We start from the raw sequence: 18,865 nt of genomic DNA, 5'->3' as shown, positions 1-18,865 counted from the left end.
AGAAAGAAGCTGCAAGTCTCTCTGAGGTTTACATCAGGAAGACACACATCACTTTGACCACTTTCTATTGTCAGCACAAGTCCTGAGGCCAGCCTAGATACAACAGGTGAAGAAAGAGACCTAACCTCTTGATGAGATGAAGGGCAAAGAATTTCTGACCACATTTAATCTATCAAACCTATTCTTTCTTGAAGTTCTTTTAGCTCATGTGAAACAATCTTCTTTCCTGGAGGGCCTCCTAGCTCACGGCTCTAATCTCCTGATTTCTCCTTCTGTTCCTACATTTTAGCTAACTTTGAAGATTCAGCTCTACATCCTTATGCTTTCAGACCCAACTCAAGTACTCATCCTCGAAGCCCTGAGTAGCTCTAGCCCTGGAGAGTAATCCTTTGTCCTAGATTTTCAATATCTTCTAGCCCTCTTTACTTCTATACTGCATTGGCTAGAACTCTTGTGGTTTCATCTTGTTAATTAATAAAGTTTTAGTTTCCAGGAATGCTCTGTCCATTATCTTTCTTATGTAACTCCTACAATGCCTACCTAGCTTAATATTGATTTCTGGTAGATGATTAAAAAGTATCCACTGTTCAATTTTATAACTTGTTTTGTTGGCTTCATGGTAAATCCACTTTGTGTATATGCACCTTTGAACTACTCATCTACTAACTCAGGGAGCAAAATTCCTTTAAACATTTTGTGGCTGGGTGTAGTGGCTCACCTCTGTAATCCCAGCACTCTGGGAGGACAGGGCAGGCAGAACGCTTGAACCCAGGAGTTTGAGACCAGCCTGAAAACATGGCGAAACCCCATCTCTACCAAAAACACAAAATATTAGCTGGGCATGGTGGCTTGCGCCTGTAGTCCCAGCCACTCAGGAAGCTGAGGTAGGAGGATCATCTGAGCCTGGGAAGTCGAGGCTGCAGTGAGCTGTGATTGCACCACTGCATTCAGCCTGGGTGACAGAGTGAGACCCTGTCTCAAAAGCACACACACACAAAAAGTAAAATTTTGTGAATTATTGTGAACAAAAATAACTGAAAAATTGAGGCAGGGAGAAAGTAGCAATTAATTAATTGAATGAAACTATATAGGCCTCCCTTACTATCACAACCCATTGTACTCTCTTAAAAAAGTCAAACTTGAAAGCAGAATGTTCTGTATAAGATTAAGAACTTTCAAATCCTTTTTTTCATATAGGGTTGCCAGATTGTATCAAATTGCAAACCAAACGAAAATTCAATGACAGAACTTAAGAAAATCTAATCTTTCTTTCTAGTAGGCTTCCAGAATAAGATATTCCTTAAGAACATATGATGTGGGTATCTAAAACCCAACAGAACTTATTAATTCAGAATTTGGGGTGGGGAAAGAATCTGTCTAAATTATTAAAATTCTGACTTAGGAAATGTTTTTGAAAGAATCACATTTCTGTTACTTTTGAGTCATGCAGTTACTCAAACTTAAATCCAGACCCTCTCCAAGAAAGTTATAAATTGCAAATTAGGAGAGGACCAAAAGCCAAAGGTACTGTTGACCTCTAAACAGACTATAGGAGAACTGCAAGGTTTGTAATGAAGAACAAAAATAAAGGCAATTATGAAAGATGAGATGGCAAAACAATTTTACATTTTAAAGTCATTACAGCAGTAGTAATCCCTACTAGCTATAAACCATGAGGAAGCCCAATACTGAGGACAAAAAGGAAAAGGTGCTTTCAGAATTTTTTTTTCAACATTTATTTTAGAATCAGAGGCTACATGTGCAGGTTTGTTACAAAGGTTTACTGCATGATGCTGAGGTTTGGAGTATGAATGACTCTGTCACCCAGGTAGTGAACATAGTACCCAATAGGTAGTTTTCTAGCCCTTGCCCACCTCCATCTCTCTCCTCTCCAGTCGTCTCAGTGTCTATTTTTGCCTCTTTATGTCCATGAGTACCCAATGTTTAGCTCCCACTTATAAGTGAGAACAAACAGTACTTGCTTTTCTGTTTCTACATTAGTTCACTTAAGAAAATGGCCTCCAGCTCCATCCGTATTGCTACAAATGATTTCGTTCTTTTTGACGGCTGTGTAGTATTCCATGGTGTATATATACCACATTTTCTTTATCCAATCCACTGCTCATGGACACCTGGGTTGATTCCACATGTTTGCTATTATGAATAGTGATGCAATGAACGTATGGGTTCATGTGTCCTTTTGGTAAAATGATTCATTTTCCTTTGGGTATATACTCAGTAATAAGATTGCTGCGTCACATGGTAGGTTAACTTTTTTTTGAGATGGAGTCTCGCTCTGTTGCCCCTAGGCTGGAGTGCAGTGACATGAGCTCAGCTCACTGTAAGCTCCGCCTCCCAGGTTAACACCATTCTCCTGCCTCAGCCTCCCAAGTAGCTGGGACTACAGGCGCCTGCTGCCACGCCCGGCTTTTTTTTTTTTTTTTTTTTTTTTTGTATTTTTAGTAGAGACGGGGTTTCACCGTGTTAGCCAGGATTGTCTCGATCTCCTGACCTCGTGATCTGCCCGCCTTTGCCTCCTGGTTAACTTCTATTCATGCAATACTAGTGAGCCAGAGGCTTTTCTGAGCTGAACCAACAGGTTGGCAAAAGCTTTTAAAATGACAATGTGAGCAGCCTGGCTTATGTAAATTGACCAAAGTATCTAAAGGGTATACGTTAAACAAGGTTTCCAACAGAGAAATGTCAGAGACAAAAAAATACAGTAAGTTATCAAATTAGTTAAGGAAATGCGAGGTGGTAGAAAGCCCATGGAACCTGCTTGTGCACAGAAGCTGAGGTGAACTTGAAGAATGAGGAAGGACACTGCTGAGTTAAGAGAGCCTTCATGAATTTACAAGTTAATAAAACAATGAATCAACTTTTGTCACCAAGGTAACCGTCCTGATGTAGAAATCCCAATGTCTATTTCTAAGAAAGGAAACTACAGTATCAAGTTAACTTCAAACATGATACTACACATTGCTTAGCATTTTCCTCTACATTTGGAGCTGGGTTCTACCCCTATTTCTAAAAAGCTGAAAAAACGAATATTCTTCCAAGGATGTTAAGTTTCTTATAAAATAAACAGTGACTCAGCTGAGAGGTCAGAAAAGATTTCTGCAATAATGTAATTTGAAAAGATTTTATTTTGAACTTCTGCCTTGCAAGCTACAAACTCAAAATGGGATGTGATGTTTGCCATATTTGCTGTTTCAGCTGTGATTTACTTTTCCCCCCAGCTTAAGTGGGCACAAATGGAGAAAGCAAACAAGTTAATGTTTTGTAAATATTTCAGTTCTGAGGCAAACTTACTTTTCACTTTTAGCAGTTAATTTGATGTGGTCATTTCTTCATTCATCCATCCATCCAATTCATTTATTCAACAAATATTTATCGAGCATCTACTATGTGCCAGGCACTGATCTAGGTTCTACAATAACATTATCAGCGAGTACAATCACCATGAGATTTCCAGTATACTGATTAGATAGTAAGTGACTAAAGGACTACTTTCAACTGGGCGGATCTGAGAAGGCTATTCTGAGAGGTAACATTTAAGATAAAACCTGGGTAATAAAGAGCCAACCTTGGAAGATAGGGGAGTAAATCCAGACAGAAAAAACAGGTAGTGCAAAGGCTAAGTCAGAAACACACTTGACTTGTTCCAGAAATGGAAAGAAGGCTGTAATCTTTGACAATGAGTTAGGAAGTAGGTAGAGACTAGTGTGCAGGGCTTTGCAGGCTGAGTGAAGAGTTTGGTTTCATTCTAATTGCAGTGGAAGCTACTGAAGGATTTTAAGCAGGGCAGTGACATGATCTGATTTACACTTTAAAGTGTGCCATAGTAAGTGTCTGCAGCCATCCAGCTGAAGGAGGCTGGGAAAGCATGCGATTCTAGTGCTGGGTCTCTTTTTCCATCATGACCACGGACCTTAAGTGGCCTTCAATCACATGTGGCAATCACACATATCCCTAGTCAATTAACTTTGCTTCTCTCCTAGACACATGTTCCAGATCACTTTCTCTCTGGAAACCTCCTCATTTCCTCATTCCTCACTGATGGCCTTGCTTCTGACTTCACTGAGAAAATGGACATAATCAGGGGGAAACTTCCACCCCTTCCACATACACAACCATTCCTCCAGGGCCTATGTAGGAATGCAGTCCTTCCTATGAGAGCCCCCTTCACCCCCTCTCTCCTCTCTCCCTTCTCCGGCACATTCTCCAGCAATTCTCCCAGCTCACTGCTGCATCATCTGCATCTTTACCTACTCCTCATCAGCACAGAAACCTGCTATGATTCTTTCTCCATCTTTTTAAAAACAAAACAAAACAAAAGGTCTTTTTGTGCCACTTTTCTCTCCAGCTTTTGCCCTATTTCTTGGGTACTATGTATAGCCAAGTTTTTCTAAAGCGTTGTCTATATTCGCTGTCATCACTTGTGCTTCTGCTCTTCCCATTCTCACGAAGCTGCTCCAGTGAGACTGTTATGGCCACTCCGCTCCTGAAATTACTTTTTAACATCCCAATTACCTCCATGTTGGTTAACTCTGTGGTCAATTCTCACTCCTCATCTTAGATTATCCCCAGCATTTGACTGGAGATAGTGCTCTTGGCTGGGGATAGTCCTTCCTGAAATGCTTGCCTCACATCCTTCTGCGACCCGTCCCCTGGTTATCTCTTACCTATGGTCTCTATTCCTCTGCTTCCTCTCTTAAAGTTGGTGTGCCCTGGGGCTTAGTCCCCTGACCACTTCTCTATCACCCTCACCAGCCAGTTGATCTCAGTCAATGTTAGTTTCTTTTTTGTTTGTTTGTTTGAGATGGAGTCTCGCTCTGTCGCCCAGGTTGGAGTGCCATCTCGGCTCAATGCAAGCTCTGCCTCCCAGGTTCACGCCATTCTCCTGCCTCAGCCTCCCGAGTAGCTGGGACTACAGGTGCCCGCCACCACGCCTGGCTAATTTTTTTGTATTTTTAGTAGAGACGGGGTTTCACCATGTTAGCCAGGATGGTCTCGATCTCCTGACCTCGTGATCCACCCACCTCGGCCTCCTAAAGTGCTGGGATTACAGGCGTGAGCCACCGCGTCCAGCCAGTTTTACAGTTTTTATCTCATTGATATGCCAGGGTCTGAAATTTATGTCTCTAGCTATCTCTCTAGAATTCAAGGCTTGTTTATTCAACTGCTTACTCTACATGTCTTTCCAAATGTCTAACAGATACCTAATACCTCACATGCCCTAAATTGAACCTGTGATGTTCTCAAACCTATTCTACTCACTGCCTTACCCACCTCAGTTGATGTCAATGTTATCCGACTACTTTGGCCACAAACTTTGGAGTCTTTCCTCTTTCTCACATACTCCACATTCAGTCTATCAGGAAGTTGTGTTGGCTCTTACTTCAAAATATATCCAGAGCCTGAACACCTTCACGGCTGCCCTGGTCTGAGTCACCATGATCTCCATCCTGAATTACTGCAATACCCACTTACTGGTCCCCATTTCTGCCTTTGTCCCCTCCCATCAGTTCTCTACACAGTGGCCAGAATGACCCCTTAAAATGCAATCAAGGTATTCTTTTGCTCCAATCCTCCAGTGGCTCTCCAGCAAGAGCAGAAGCCTTCCAATGCCCTTCCAGCCCTGCACAGCCTGCTAATCTCCCCTTCTTCTCTCACAGCCACACAGGCCAGAGGCTGCATCCCAGACACATCAAGCATGCTCAAGGCTCCAGATCGTGGCACTTGTTTTCTCTGCCTCGAATTCTCTTATCCTAGATATCCACCTGTCTTGCTGCTTCACCTCCAACAGACTTTTCCTGTCCCTCTATTTCAAATCCCAATTGTGTAGCCAACTCTGCACCCACTTTCCAATCCTTCAGTTTTAACCAAAGCAGAAACACTACATTTTACTTGGTCTACTGTCTATCTCTTCCTGCTATATTTAAATTCCATGAAGCCAGGGAATTTTGTTCACTGTTGTTTCCCAACACTTGGAACAATTCCTTGGCATATAATCGAAGCTCGGCATTGAATAGATGAAAAAACATGAATGAAATGGATACAAGAATAAGGTAATGAAGTAGTCAGGATGACACTGCAAGTTTTAGCTGAGAAACTGGACAGATGGTGAGATGCAGAAGCCTGAGAGAGGACTAGGTTTCAGGGCTCAGGACAGAATAGAGCTCGGATTTGGAGATATTGTGAGATGTCCATTAGACATCAAATAGACACATTAGTAGTAGGCAGTTGGATACGTAAGTCTGAAATTTGGAGACTCTAGGGGTTAGAGTCAAATGTGGGTGGCCATCAGCTTATAAGTGGTATTTAAGTCCTGAAGCCAGATAAGCTTATCTGGTCAGAGAACAGAGAGAGAAGGGACTAGGCCCAGTTTTGTGCCAAACTTAGAGACCGAGCAAAGAAGAGAGTGTTAAAAGGGACTGAAAAGAAGCCAACAGTGAGGCTGGAGGAAAGCCAGAAGTGTTGTAGGAAGGTGGGACTGGAGAGGCCAAGCACAAAGACAGATGTAAGCACAGGCTCAGCGGAATGAGAGGACAGAAGCTGACTGATGTGGTTGGAGGACAAAATGGAAGTGAAGTGAAGAAGCAACAGTCCACTCCTTACATCAATTTTGCTGTGAAGGGGAACAGAAAAGCAGGATGGTCATGCCCTAGACTCATTTCCAATCACTGCTTCATTCACAAGCATTCCACTCACCCTCTAACCACTCATCTCTCCAGCCCACTTCCTCAAGTACTGGCACTTCAACAAGTCTTCAGCCCCACGACGACCTGGAGGCCCATGCTCTCCCTTCCTTCCTTACCCTGCTTCCTACTTTCCATGGCCCACCAAGGCCACTTCTTCGCATTTCCCCTTCTCCCTTTACTCTCTTCTCTCTCCCTCCATCACTCAGGCAAACCTTAACTCTGACCAAGTCAACTCTTAGTTTATTTTAACCCTGCATTCAAGGAGCTAAACCTGGCTGAATCAAACACACAACTATGCTGATAAGCCTTGTTTTCACCTTATGAACATACATCTCAAGTAGATCTTGAGGAATACCCTGCAATATACCACATTTCCCTGGTGAGTTGACGTTCCTACTTTCGAAGATGATTACTTCACACCAATACTTTTCCCAAGCCTCCAGGACCCCCTCCCACTTCTTCACTCTAATTATTTTGCTTTTTAGTTCACTGAGAAAATAAATTGAGACCACCTTGTCCTCCTGCCACAAGATCTTCTAACCTACCTACATCTATGCCCACACACACTGCCTTGTTGCAAAGGCCAATGCTTCCATTTGTACACTGACTGCATCAATTTCCCCCTCCTATGGGATTATCATCACGCACACACGCACAAAGCTGCAGTATTTCCCATCCTGAAAAAATACCTTCCTCAGATTTCCCTCCAGATACCAACCGTTTCCCTGCCCCAACTTCTCAGGTCTCTGGGATTCTCTGCAGGAGTTCCCTCCCTAACTTCATTCCATTTTCTGATCATTGTCACTGCTTTAGAGAGATGCCACCTGTATAATACAGTCTGTCCTCTCCCACCCAACTAAACCCTTTTTTCTCCTTCCCCGTTTATTTCTCATTTGCACTTTTACTACTTCAAGTTATAAGCTCGTCTCCCCTCTAAAATCTAAGTAAGCTCCTTGAAAACAGAAGTCTTTATCTACTCAACCCATACTACCTACATATTGTGGCCACTCAAATCATTGGTTAAATTACAGAAAAAGGTATTTGAAAAGGGAGGTTCAAAGGCAGCTCTTCATTTTTAGTAAAGGTAAAATACAATAGCATCTTTTTATGCTGATGGGAAGAATCCTGTAGAAAAATTTGTTAATGCAGGAGTAAGGGATAACGTAGAAGATAGAAGAGATATAAATATAGGCACATTGCTGGAGTTTGAGAAATGGAAAAAAATAAGGTCTGGGATGAAACCTCCACTGGTTCTCTGTATGTAATACTATCCTTGGAATCCTTCCCCACAGAGCTGACTGCTGGGATTGTATTCTGAGAAGACACCGTTACCCCTTGCATGAGATTGACCAAAGTCTGTGGCATACTGAATTTCATGATGCAGCAGGATTCCTAATAAAAATGTGTATTTATTTTTGCATAGCTAAAACATTAAAGCCCCAGGGTGGTTTAAAAAATAATAGCCTACACATTTTTTTCATGTAAACTAAGAATGACATTTTCATTAGTGCCTCTTTCTCTTTCAGGAACTATGTGAAAAACAACATTTGTTTTATGAGTCATCACCAAGAAGAATTAGTGCCAAAACAGCCTCAAAAAAGAAAACCCCAGGAGCAGCTCTTGGAGTGTAACAAGCTGTGTGGTAGGGGCCAATCCAGGCAGCTTTCTCCAGAGACCTAATGGCCTCAACACCTTCTGAACGTGGATAGTGCCAGAACACTTAGGAGGGTGTCTTTGGACCAATGCATAGTTGCGACTCCTGTGCTCTCTTTTCAGTGTCATGGAACTGGTTTTGAAGAGACACTCTGAAATGATAAAGACAGCCTTTAATCCCCCTCCTCCCCAGAAGGAACCTCAAAAGGTAGATGAGGTACAAGGTCCTAAGTGATCTCTTTTTCTGAGCAGGATATCAGGTTAAAAAAAAAAAGTTACTGGCTGGTTTAATACTTTCTACCTTCTTCACAGAGCAGCCTTTGAATAGACTATGTCCTAGTGAAGACATCAACCTCCGCCTTAAGCTATGTATGTATGGAGGCCAGTCGCAGCTTTATTATGCAGACACACAAGTGGTCTGGACATGAGGGTACAGTTTCTGCCTACCAAGACACTACTTGCACTGGATCTTACGCAAAAAAGAACCAGAACACACAGTGTGGACAACTGCCCATATATTCTATCTAGATTAGGAGAGGGTCCTGGCTAGGATTTTAGTGGTAATTCCTAGTTACATTCAACAAGTATAAAGATTATAGAGCTTATTTTATGAACTATAAACTATAATTTAATGCAAAATATCCTTTTATGAATTTCATGTTAATATTGTGAAATATTAAAATAATTCCACAATAGTTGAGAAAAATGAGCATTTTTTTCCATTTTTAAAAAATGCATAGAAAAGACAATTTTAAAATCCTGGGACCATATTTATTTAGAAGTAGCTGTTAGTAAAACATTAGAAAAGGAGTCAGGCCATTAGGTTATTTATCCAAATCTCTAAGCAATTAGGTTGAAGTTATTAAGTCAAGCCTAGAAAAGCTGCCTCCTTGTAAGGCTTTCATGACAATGTATAGTAATCCACAGTGTCCAATTCTTCACACTCCTCAGGAATATCACTACCTCAGGTTACGGTACACAGGCTATAATTGATGATGATGTTCAGATAACTGAAGACACAATAAATGACATTCAGACATCAGGACAATTCCCTCATGTTCTTTTCTATGATGGCCACCTGTACCAGCAACGTGGGTTTCACCCACACAACGATGAACTGTTCTCTTACTTCTCCAGTTGATTTTAAAGACTTGTTAAGAGGTCTTACTAATAAAATTTGGGTATGATAGAAAATCCACAATCAAATCTTGAACCAAATAACATATTAAATTACTAATATTTAAGTGATGGAAGACACACAAAAAACTTAAAAGCACGAACAACCTAACTTGAAAAAGAATTTTAAAATATGATTAACCTGAAGAAAAGAGAATCCTAAGAGCCAAAGCTCCTTTTTATTTAGCTTGGAATTTTCCTATTGGTTCCTAACAAACTGTCCCAATGTCATATAAGGAAACATGATCTATTACATTCCTTTATAACAATGTGGAGAGACTATAAACCTATGTAAGTAGTAAAACTATATCAGAGACTCAGGAGACTGACTAAAAGGCCTGGATCTGCAGTGTATTATCTGTATAAAAATTGGCAGGGGGAAGCTAAAAGGAAAGGAGATTGGAGATCTCAATTCTATCATGGTGTATTTCATACGCAAATCAGAGCATGCATTGTTTTTTGTTTTTGGAAAGAGAAGGGAAGTGTGTTCTGCCCCATGTTTCCTTCCGTGTTTATAGTTCAAACTCTATATATACTTCAGGTATTTTTTGTTTAGCCCTTCATTATAAATGGGCAGGAAATTGTTTATCAACCTAGCCAGTTTATTACTAGTGACCTTGACTTCAGTATCTTGAGCATTCTTTTATATTTTTCTTTTATTATCCTGAGTCTGTAACTAAACAATTTTGTCTTCAAATTTTTATCCAATATCCATTGCACCACACCAAATCAAGCTTCTTGATTTTCAAAAATAAAAAGGGGGAAATACTTACAACTTGTACATATATATTCACAGTTTTTATTTATAAAAAAAATTTACAGTACTTATGGAGAGCCAGCAGAAGACATCAGAGCACTCACTTCTTCCCATCTTTGTTAAGGTTAGCGAATTACCCATGGACACTGTTAGGTGAGGCTCATTCGGCAGCCCTGAAAACAAACCTGGTCACACTGTCTTTACCCTCTCCCTTCAGATAAAGCACTTCGATTATCTATTGATCTGCCCAGTTTTCAAGTCATGCGAATACTAAAAAGGTTACATCATCTGGATCTGTACCTTGGCTATATAAGCATGTTTTCCCCCTATTCTATGTTTCTTTTTTTGGTGAACATTGAAAAACAGGAGGTGACTTATTACTGTTAATTAAAACTAAATGAAAAATGTCAAGTCTTTAAAACAGTGAGCTTGTAACTCTTTCATGTAATTTTATTCTCTATGAATTTGGCTATCCTACTGAATCTTAAAATAAAGGAAATAAACACTTTTTTTTTAAAAAAAAGGAAAAATACAAGTCTAAAAATCTCAATGAAATATTTCACAAGAAGGAAAAATGTAAGTTAGCCTTTGCTTTCCACTTTGGAATAAGCAGGAGGTTAGGGAAGGCATTGAGAAGAAAAAAGATAAAAATAATATGTGTTGTTCAGTGCAGTGCCTAAGCTAGGTTTTCAAGATTTTATAATACAGTAAGGAAAATGTACTATATATGGAGATTAGGATGTTGCAATTTTTCCACAAAGGTTTAAAAACATTTTGGAAATACAAGTTTTTGTGGAACATTGTGTTGGAATATTGTCCCCATTAAGTTTCTCCTGAGAAGCTAATTGGACTCTCCACTCAGCTTTATTTCTAGGTATAATCACTGTTGGTTACACTAAACTCCTAAACCTAAATGACAGGGCACAACTACAGCTTGATCCTGTATTACCACATCAGGGCTCCTGGGTGAGCCAGAGACACTGTTTCATAAATGCATATTTATTATAACTTTAAGAGTAGCAATCTCATATACTGAATAGTCACTCTTTAACTCCATTAAATAAGATACAGCAAGGGGAAGGACAGTATCACACAAAATGGCTTTCAAATTCAAGTGGGGCTATTTGATAATTACACTGTGGCACAGAGGCAGCTTATGGGCACTTCTTGTTAAAACATCTCCATGTTACCAACTTCTGACAAGACTCTTAGTATAGGCTTGGGCATCAACCCAAGATTAAAGTCAAGAACCTCAATCACTTCTCTACAACTACAGGTGTTGAGTCTTTCCAGAAAAACAAAGGTCCAAATGAGGCACCATTCATCACAGCTTCTTTCTCATTTCCATCTAGTGGGTAAGAGGTTTCTCTTCTTAAAACTACAATTTCTTAACCTTTACAAGTTATTTAACATTTTCTATCATATTAAATTAGCAACATAAAACATTATCCTTTATCTATAAACTTCTAGTCTGGTTCCCTAGAGTTTATATACACGTTTTTATTTCTAATCTGCAAGAAAAAAAATTCCTATTTGTTATTTGGTAACAGAGCATTAAAAGATACTATACACATGTGGTGCATATATATATATATATATACACACACACACACACACACACACAAAATACACTTCAAAAAGAAGCCAACACACTTTAGCCAAAGTCTTAAGCTTGCATAGATTTTAAAAAAAAGAAGTATGAATACAATTTTTGTTAAAATAGAAAATGGGGAATAAAAGTTATAGAATGAAGAGAGATCTTTTCCAAACTTTTATTTGTGCACATTCAATTGAAAAAGATAACTTTTACAGGTTCTTTGGTGCCCATATTCAGCATACAAAAATGTAAAAGACTATTCACAAATAAAACACATTAGCTCAAAATGGAAAAAAATAACAATGACGACAATAAAACAATCTAAGGTAGTGCACACTGTGACAGCTCTGCTTATGGGGACATGAGAATTACTGCGAAAATAAATAGAATGTCCTTTTGTAAAAGCAGCAATATCATGTCTTGTAAACTTCCTTTTATATTACAGCAAGGTTTGGAATAAAATCCAAAGGGACTGGAGCTTACACTGTAGCCGTGAATGAATAAAAGAGTCTATTTCCTCAATTATTGTTGGTCCAGTTTTCCTTTTGAGTCCAATGTGCAGCAGGTTTAAAAGGTGCTCAGTTAGAGATTCTAACCAATTAAGTGGTGAATTATAAAATTTCTTTCCTGCTTTCAAACACAAATGGGTAAATCTGTTCCACAGCAGTAGCAACAGCCTTTACATTGGGCCCTGTAATAAACACAATGGAGGAAGGAGTGAGAAGAGTTGGAAAAGGGAGCACTAGGAAAAACTGATTTTCCAGAATTAAAAATATTCAAGTGGTATAGAATATCAAGTTAACTGTTAAAAAAAAGAAAACTAGACATATAATTATACACATAGCCATAATAAGTAAAAGTAATACAGATTTTGTTCTGGGCAATTAAAGGACATATGAAACACAAAATGAGGTTATTCACTTTGTTTTAGGGCATACAAACTATCATGGACTAATATAAAAAGCACTGTAATATAATATGTACATGAAAGGAAGGAGTAACAAATGGGACTAAATAACAGCTATCCTTTAAGTCACTATCATCTGGCTTCTGGTTAGGCTACAACAGAGGCTCAGGGATATGGAGGAACACAGCAGAGTGAAACAAAGCTGCTACCAAAATGTTGGGAAACCAGAATGCTGGTTTAAAAATCCCCACAGATTTACCACCACTGGGTATCCACATATTTATTACCAATCTGGTCATTTCACCCTCAGAGCGTATACAAGTCAATAGAAAACAAAAAAAGCACAAGGCTACGAGGTGACCATGCATTATGCTAATTCTTGAACAACTTTATAAAAATGTAATCTTTCATTTAAATCGCTAAAAAGAAACATAAAAAAGGACAATGAAAACTATTCTCATAAAATTTTGAATAAAAATGGCTTCACCAATACACACTTAACCTCTTTTGAAAGACCCAGGAAACTAACAAATCCACCCACTGTAAACTCTCTGAAAGTCCTAACCACACATCCTATCTTGGTCAGGTCCTTCCTGACTCACTTTACCCCCACCTTGCTATGCTTTGTTCATGGGAACCAATTCAGTAACATTTCATAGGCTATTCCTGATCTAAGTAAATAATGCATACTGCTTAACCAGGTGAATTGTCTTCAGTTTGTTATTGTTTTGTTTAATATCTAGTAACTCAGTAAATACAGAGTTTTACATATGCATTGTTTTATTATATACTTAGTAGAGATTGTTCAATAGGCTTTGTGGCTTCTCAGACATCCATGCTCCAAAGTGTAGAAACAGAGAGCTGAAAGAAGGGAACAAACAGACTCGTCTCCTATCATCCCATATTTAAGATGCAGGTGGGATCTTGGGAATACGTTTTGAAAGTCCCCAAGGAAGATGGAAAAACCCATGGGATGAGTCAAAACTAAAGTTTATTTGTTGAGAGACTAAATTATTTTCCTCTGTGGATTGAAGAAAGAAAAAACAAAGCTCAAGGACATTAAAGACATTTTCTTTAATTCTTTTTTGCCTAAGGTTGGGCCTGACTCCCAAGCAATGCCTCTGTACAATTTATAATCATAGTACCATTAAAATGTCACACAGCATGCTAATGCTACTCTCTGACATGAATGCCTAGTTTTCTGAAACCACCCTTTCTCCAAATAAAGATTAAAAGATATAGCAAGACAAACATAACAAACAGGTACCAATTATATTTAATATTTTGCTTATGTAAAACCTCTGTGAAATTTATGAGTTTCTCATGAGAATTTTAAATGTAAGATATCATGAATTTACAAAAAAAAAATCATACTATGGATACATATACCAGAAAATATATGTGTGTATATATATATATATATATATATATATATATATATATATATTTTTTTTTTTTTTTTTTTTTTAGACAGAGTCTCACTCTGTTGCCAGTCTGGAGTGCAGTGGTGCGATCTCAGCTCGCTGCAACCTCCGCCTCCTGGGTTCAAATGATTCTCTTGCCTTAGCCTCCCGAATAGCTGGGACTACAGGCGTTCACCACCACGCCCAGCTAATATTTTGTATTTTTAGTAGAGACGGGGTTTCACCATGTTGGCCAGGATGGTCTTGATCTCTTGACCTTGTGATAAGCCCGCCTCAGCCTTCCAAGTGCTGGGCTTACAGGCATGAACCAATGCACCTGGCCTACCAGAATATTTTTAAAGCTCCAACTGGAAACTACTCAAATGCCCAATAAGAACGAATGATCTACATACAGCTACATAGAATATAATATAGATGAAACTCACTAAGATAATGCTGAGTGAAAAAAGACACAAAATAGTAAGTGTAACATTTATAAATAGTACAAAAGTAGGCAAAATGCATCTAGTGTTAAAAGTCAGGAGACTGGTTCCTCTAAAGGGCAGAAGTGACTGAAAGGAACAAATCACACATTATTTCTATCTTGGTATGAGCATCTTGTATCATTCAATCCATAATTGATAAGTGTGGTTTCAATATCATAGAATACCTGTTACTGTGATACTTCCTGTTGAAAAAATCTGTAATGTAGCTCTTAGAGATTTTATCCGATAGCACACAGCAGGATGAAGTTCAGGTTCGTAACTACACAAAATAAGCCACAATTAATATAAATATTTATACCCTGACTAGTAATTTCAAATTTGGTAATTTCTCAAGATAAATTGCTTCAAAGACTTACCTGGCATGAGGTCTATTGTTCTTTGTGAATTCTGGCAAACGGATTTCAAATGGCATGTTACACACTGCCAGAACGTTAACAACCTTAAAATCTGTAAATATTACCTTTAGGAGAGAAGTAAAATTCAATAAATTTATTTTGAAACAAACAAACAAAAAATCTGCTCATAATGGCAATCCTTAAAAACAAGAGCAAACAAGATAAAACAAAAACATTTTAAGTGTATGTTTAGTACTGTAAGTTGTGTAGCATGGAAAGCTTTAATTCAGTTTTTTAAAAAGCTCAAAAACTCCATTAAAAAAATTAAAAACTGAGGTATTTGCATGATCAAAACAGTATGGGTCTTTCTAATCATATGTTTAATTTTTTAATACTTTAAGTGAAATATTTAAAACTACTGAGAAAGGAGAGAGAATAGTGAGGGAAAAAAAATTTAAGTCCAGGTCATCCTGCTAGAGTAAAAATGGAAAAGATGTCACTTTAAAGTCAGTAAATACAGAGTGTACACTGGGCTCCAAAAGTCAGATGTTTTTCTCATATGCAATAAGGCAAAATGACATTTCTGTGAGATTAGCTAGATGTTTATTTTCTTTCTGGGGATAGAGTGATAAATTTGTTTCTAACTAATTGGGATTTCTCTCAACACTTCTAATGTTACACTAAGAAAAGAAGTTCCAAGGCTGAAAATAATGCTGTTAACATTAATAACTTTGGCCACTCCAACCAACATCTTCGTTTCATCTCATTATCTTTTCAAACATTCCTCCTAAAACCACAATTTTGGGTGAGCGAACTATCCTTCAACTCAGCCTTGCACACAGCAGTTGCGCAAAGCCAGGAAACCGCAAAGTGGCAGCACTCTCAAATCACAGTACAACTCAAGCCTCTCTCTACTGCCACCCTTCTCAAGCACCAACCCCCACTCCCCACCAGCCGTTCAGTCTCTTCCTATCACCCTCTACTTCAGAGAGACTGAGTCATCAGAGGGAAAGGTAACTTCCTATCCCCACTTCTACAAACTTGTCTCAATCCCAAACAGCCTTGCCCTCATCTTCAGGGACCATTCTCATCTTTATCTTTCATTTATTCATCATTTGCAAGTGACCTAGCAAGTCCATAATATGTAATCGTTTTATTCAAAGGTATACCTCTATCAAGTTATAGTGATGAGGCTGACATGCCAGTGACAGTCACGTTACAAGTGTGAGAGCCTGCCAGCTGGTGTGTCCATGTCAACGGCCTCTGCCATTCTCTATTCACCATTCTGACCTGGCATTCTTGAGATGACCAAAAACCATTTTGTTTGTGTACGTCAGAGGTGAAAACACTTAAAAAAGAGTTGAAAAGGAAATTAACTTGTGAGGAAACAAGTCTCTTTATGGGAAAGGAATTAGGGAAAAAGCTAGGATCCTTTACAAATACCCACATAGCCAAATTTTGCTACTAATTTTCACACTGAAGGGCAGTATTAAAAAACCTAGAAAAAGTTTAATCATAAGAATAGTACGCATAGTGATTTCTTGAGTCTATTACAATTTTTAATTCTATAAAAATAAGTCCTTGAATATTTGTAGTTTAGATACTATTTGAAAACGTTACCTGAAAACCTAGTTTCTGCAGACTACGGGCTAAGCGTCTGGCACCAAATTTAGCTTCTTCTTCACTACGGTTTTAAGGAAAGAAAAAGATTATCAGTTACACAGGAAATAAATGTTATACTGAGGAACATAACAAACTTTACATATGATTTTGCTGTTAAGTCTAGGAAAATGTCCTTTCCATGAGGGAAAAAGTAAAAAATAAAAACAAAAAACCCAAGTAGCATTTACCTTGTTGCTCCAGTGCAAATAATTTTTCCTGAGGACCAAATTGTAGCTGTAATTCTAGGTTTTCTAAGCTTCATTAATACTTTCTGGGGGGAAAAAAAATCTGATTACCTCATAAGCATTATTTTTCACATAAGGTTCTGTTCTATATAGTCATATTAATGTCCAAATACTACTCTCCAAGCTTATCCAAGACTGCAATAACTGCTCTCCAAATCTACCATTCTGAAATCAAGTACAATACCAAACACAAAGAACATATTAATCCAAAAAGACATTTGATTAATTAAAAATACAAGGTGTATAGAAATCTCTCACTCTATATACTTGAAATCAATGTACTCCAAGTATATAAACAATTCAACTCTCATTCCACCCCAGTCATATAACTGGAACTTGCATGGTTCTTCACACACACCAAATCTGTTCATGCTTCAGAAGCTTTGCAGTAGCTGTTGCTTTCATTTGGAATATTATCCCCTCAATATTCTCACTTCATTCAGGTCTCTTACCAGATGTCACCTCCTGAAGAGAGGCCCTCCCTAATCATTTCCCTGAAACACCCATCCCTTCATTGCTTTCTAATTCCTAATTCTGCTTTCTGCTGCTTCATGGTACCCATCACTACTTTATATTGCATCCTAGAGTTGAGATGCTTATTACATACTCAAGTTCAACATCGGCATCTTGAATAAAGGAGAAATGTTGGAGCTGGAGATGTAATTGGAAATTCATTTAAAGCTATGGGTTACAATGAAATAACTACAGAGTGTGTATAAATAGGTCAAGGACTAAGCTCCAAGAAAATATGCAAATTTAAATTTTCATTCCAACTTTTCATTAATGGAAATATTTGTTAGATGCTCATTCTATGTAAGAAAGACATAAATGCTCACTGACTAACATAAATGAATCAGATGTTTCTGCTTAAAATTTTTGTTACATTTTGTGTTCTTCATTCTCTGTCATATGCCATATTATCAAACTAGAAAGCTATTAAATCTGGGCAGACTCAAAATTCACCAAAGATCAAGATAAAATTTGAACTAAAATACATTATAAAATTTCATATACAAGTGACTGAGAAACACTTGACTGAGTTTATCCTACATTTAATTGTCTCTCACCATCACCAGCTTGTCTATCAACTCAGAATTTTCAATTAACCTGCCTTAAAAAAACTACTTCCTTTCCATATGTCATGCTGAAGTACCAAAGCAGTGTTAGGCATATTCCTCTCTAAACTTTTGAGCAGACATATTTATTACTTTTCTAAAGGAAGGATGGGATTGCTGACAAACTTGAAAATCTTTGTGAGTCACTGAAATTTTTAATTGAATTTAATTCATCTTTACTTAGTTTCTAGTACTAAGAATTAATGACGGCCAGGCACGGTGGCTCACGCCTATAATCCCAGTACTTTGGAAGGCTGAGGTGGGTGGATCACAAGGTCAAGAGATTGAGACCATCCTGGCCAACACGGTGAAACCCCGTCTCTACTAAAAATACAAAAATTAGCTGAGCGTGGTGGTGTGCACCTGTAATCCTAGCTACTTGGGAGGCTGAGACAGGAGAATTGCTTGAACCTGGGAGGCAGAGGTTGCAGTGAGCTGTGATCATGCCACTGCATTGCACTCCAGCCTGGCGGAAGAGTGAGACTCCGTCTCAAAAAAAAAAAAAAAAAAAAAAAATTAATTAATTAATGGCAATTTACATAGGTATCCTGGCATCTAATTTTTAAAGCTAAATAGAGCCTTGAGATACATTCTTAATTTTCATAACAAATGTGTAAAATACATATTCCTCTCGTCAATCTTTGGTTTATAATGACATCCAATGTCTTTTATAATGTTAATCTCAAAACACTAAGGTTTTATTATTACTTATTAATATTCAGGCTTTAAAATATTACAGGTTTAACAAAAACTAAAATTTAAGATGTCCAGGTTAAGATATAAATCATATTATTTTCAGCAGTTT

At 38.1% G+C, this 18,865-nt stretch overlaps 2 protein-coding genes across 3 annotated transcripts in view, besides 1 other annotated feature; one reads left to right on the top strand and one right to left on the bottom strand.

The window, feature by feature from the left end:
* Nucleotides 1-11,958, top strand: part of SLC2A12 (solute carrier family 2 member 12) — a 65,044-nt gene extending 53,086 nt beyond the window's left edge. Inside the window, exon 5 of the mRNA NM_145176.3 lies at nucleotides 8,231-11,958. Within this exon, the coding sequence (NP_660159.1) occupies nucleotides 8,231-8,384 (154 nt within the window). The 3' untranslated portion in view covers nucleotides 8,385-11,958. The remainder of the gene's footprint in view (nucleotides 1-8,230) is intronic.
* Nucleotides 9,107-18,865, bottom strand: part of TBPL1 (TATA-box binding protein like 1) — a 38,259-nt gene continuing 28,500 nt past the window's right edge. For both annotated transcript variants that reach the window (NM_001253676.2, NM_004865.4), the window contains exons 3-7: nucleotides 16,889-16,971; nucleotides 16,659-16,722; nucleotides 15,060-15,163; nucleotides 14,868-14,962; nucleotides 9,107-12,578 (exon numbers count right to left, since the gene is read on the bottom strand). In NM_001253676.2, the coding sequence (NP_001240605.1) occupies nucleotides 12,499-12,578; nucleotides 14,868-14,962; nucleotides 15,060-15,163; nucleotides 16,659-16,722; nucleotides 16,889-16,971 (426 nt within the window). In that variant the 3' untranslated portion in view covers nucleotides 9,107-12,498. The remainder of the gene's footprint in view (nucleotides 12,579-14,867; nucleotides 14,963-15,059; nucleotides 15,164-16,658; nucleotides 16,723-16,888; nucleotides 16,972-18,865) is intronic.
* Nucleotides 15,905-16,074: an enhancer, noted in NCBI's record as "experimental_90037 CRE fragment used in MPRA reporter constructs". NCBI's record gives its function as "activates a minimal promoter by MPRAs in K562 erythroleukemia cells, with activity observed for both the introgressed and non-introgressed 6:134304688 variant alleles {active_cell/tissue: K562}" and the evidence as "EXISTENCE:reporter gene assay evidence [ECO:0000049][PMID:34662402]".

This window comes from Homo sapiens, chromosome 6, assembly GCF_000001405.40.
Source record: "Homo sapiens chromosome 6, GRCh38.p14 Primary Assembly".
NCBI lineage: Eukaryota > Metazoa > Chordata > Mammalia > Primates > Hominidae > Homo > Homo sapiens.
This window is presented reverse-complemented; position numbering and strand designations above follow the sequence as displayed.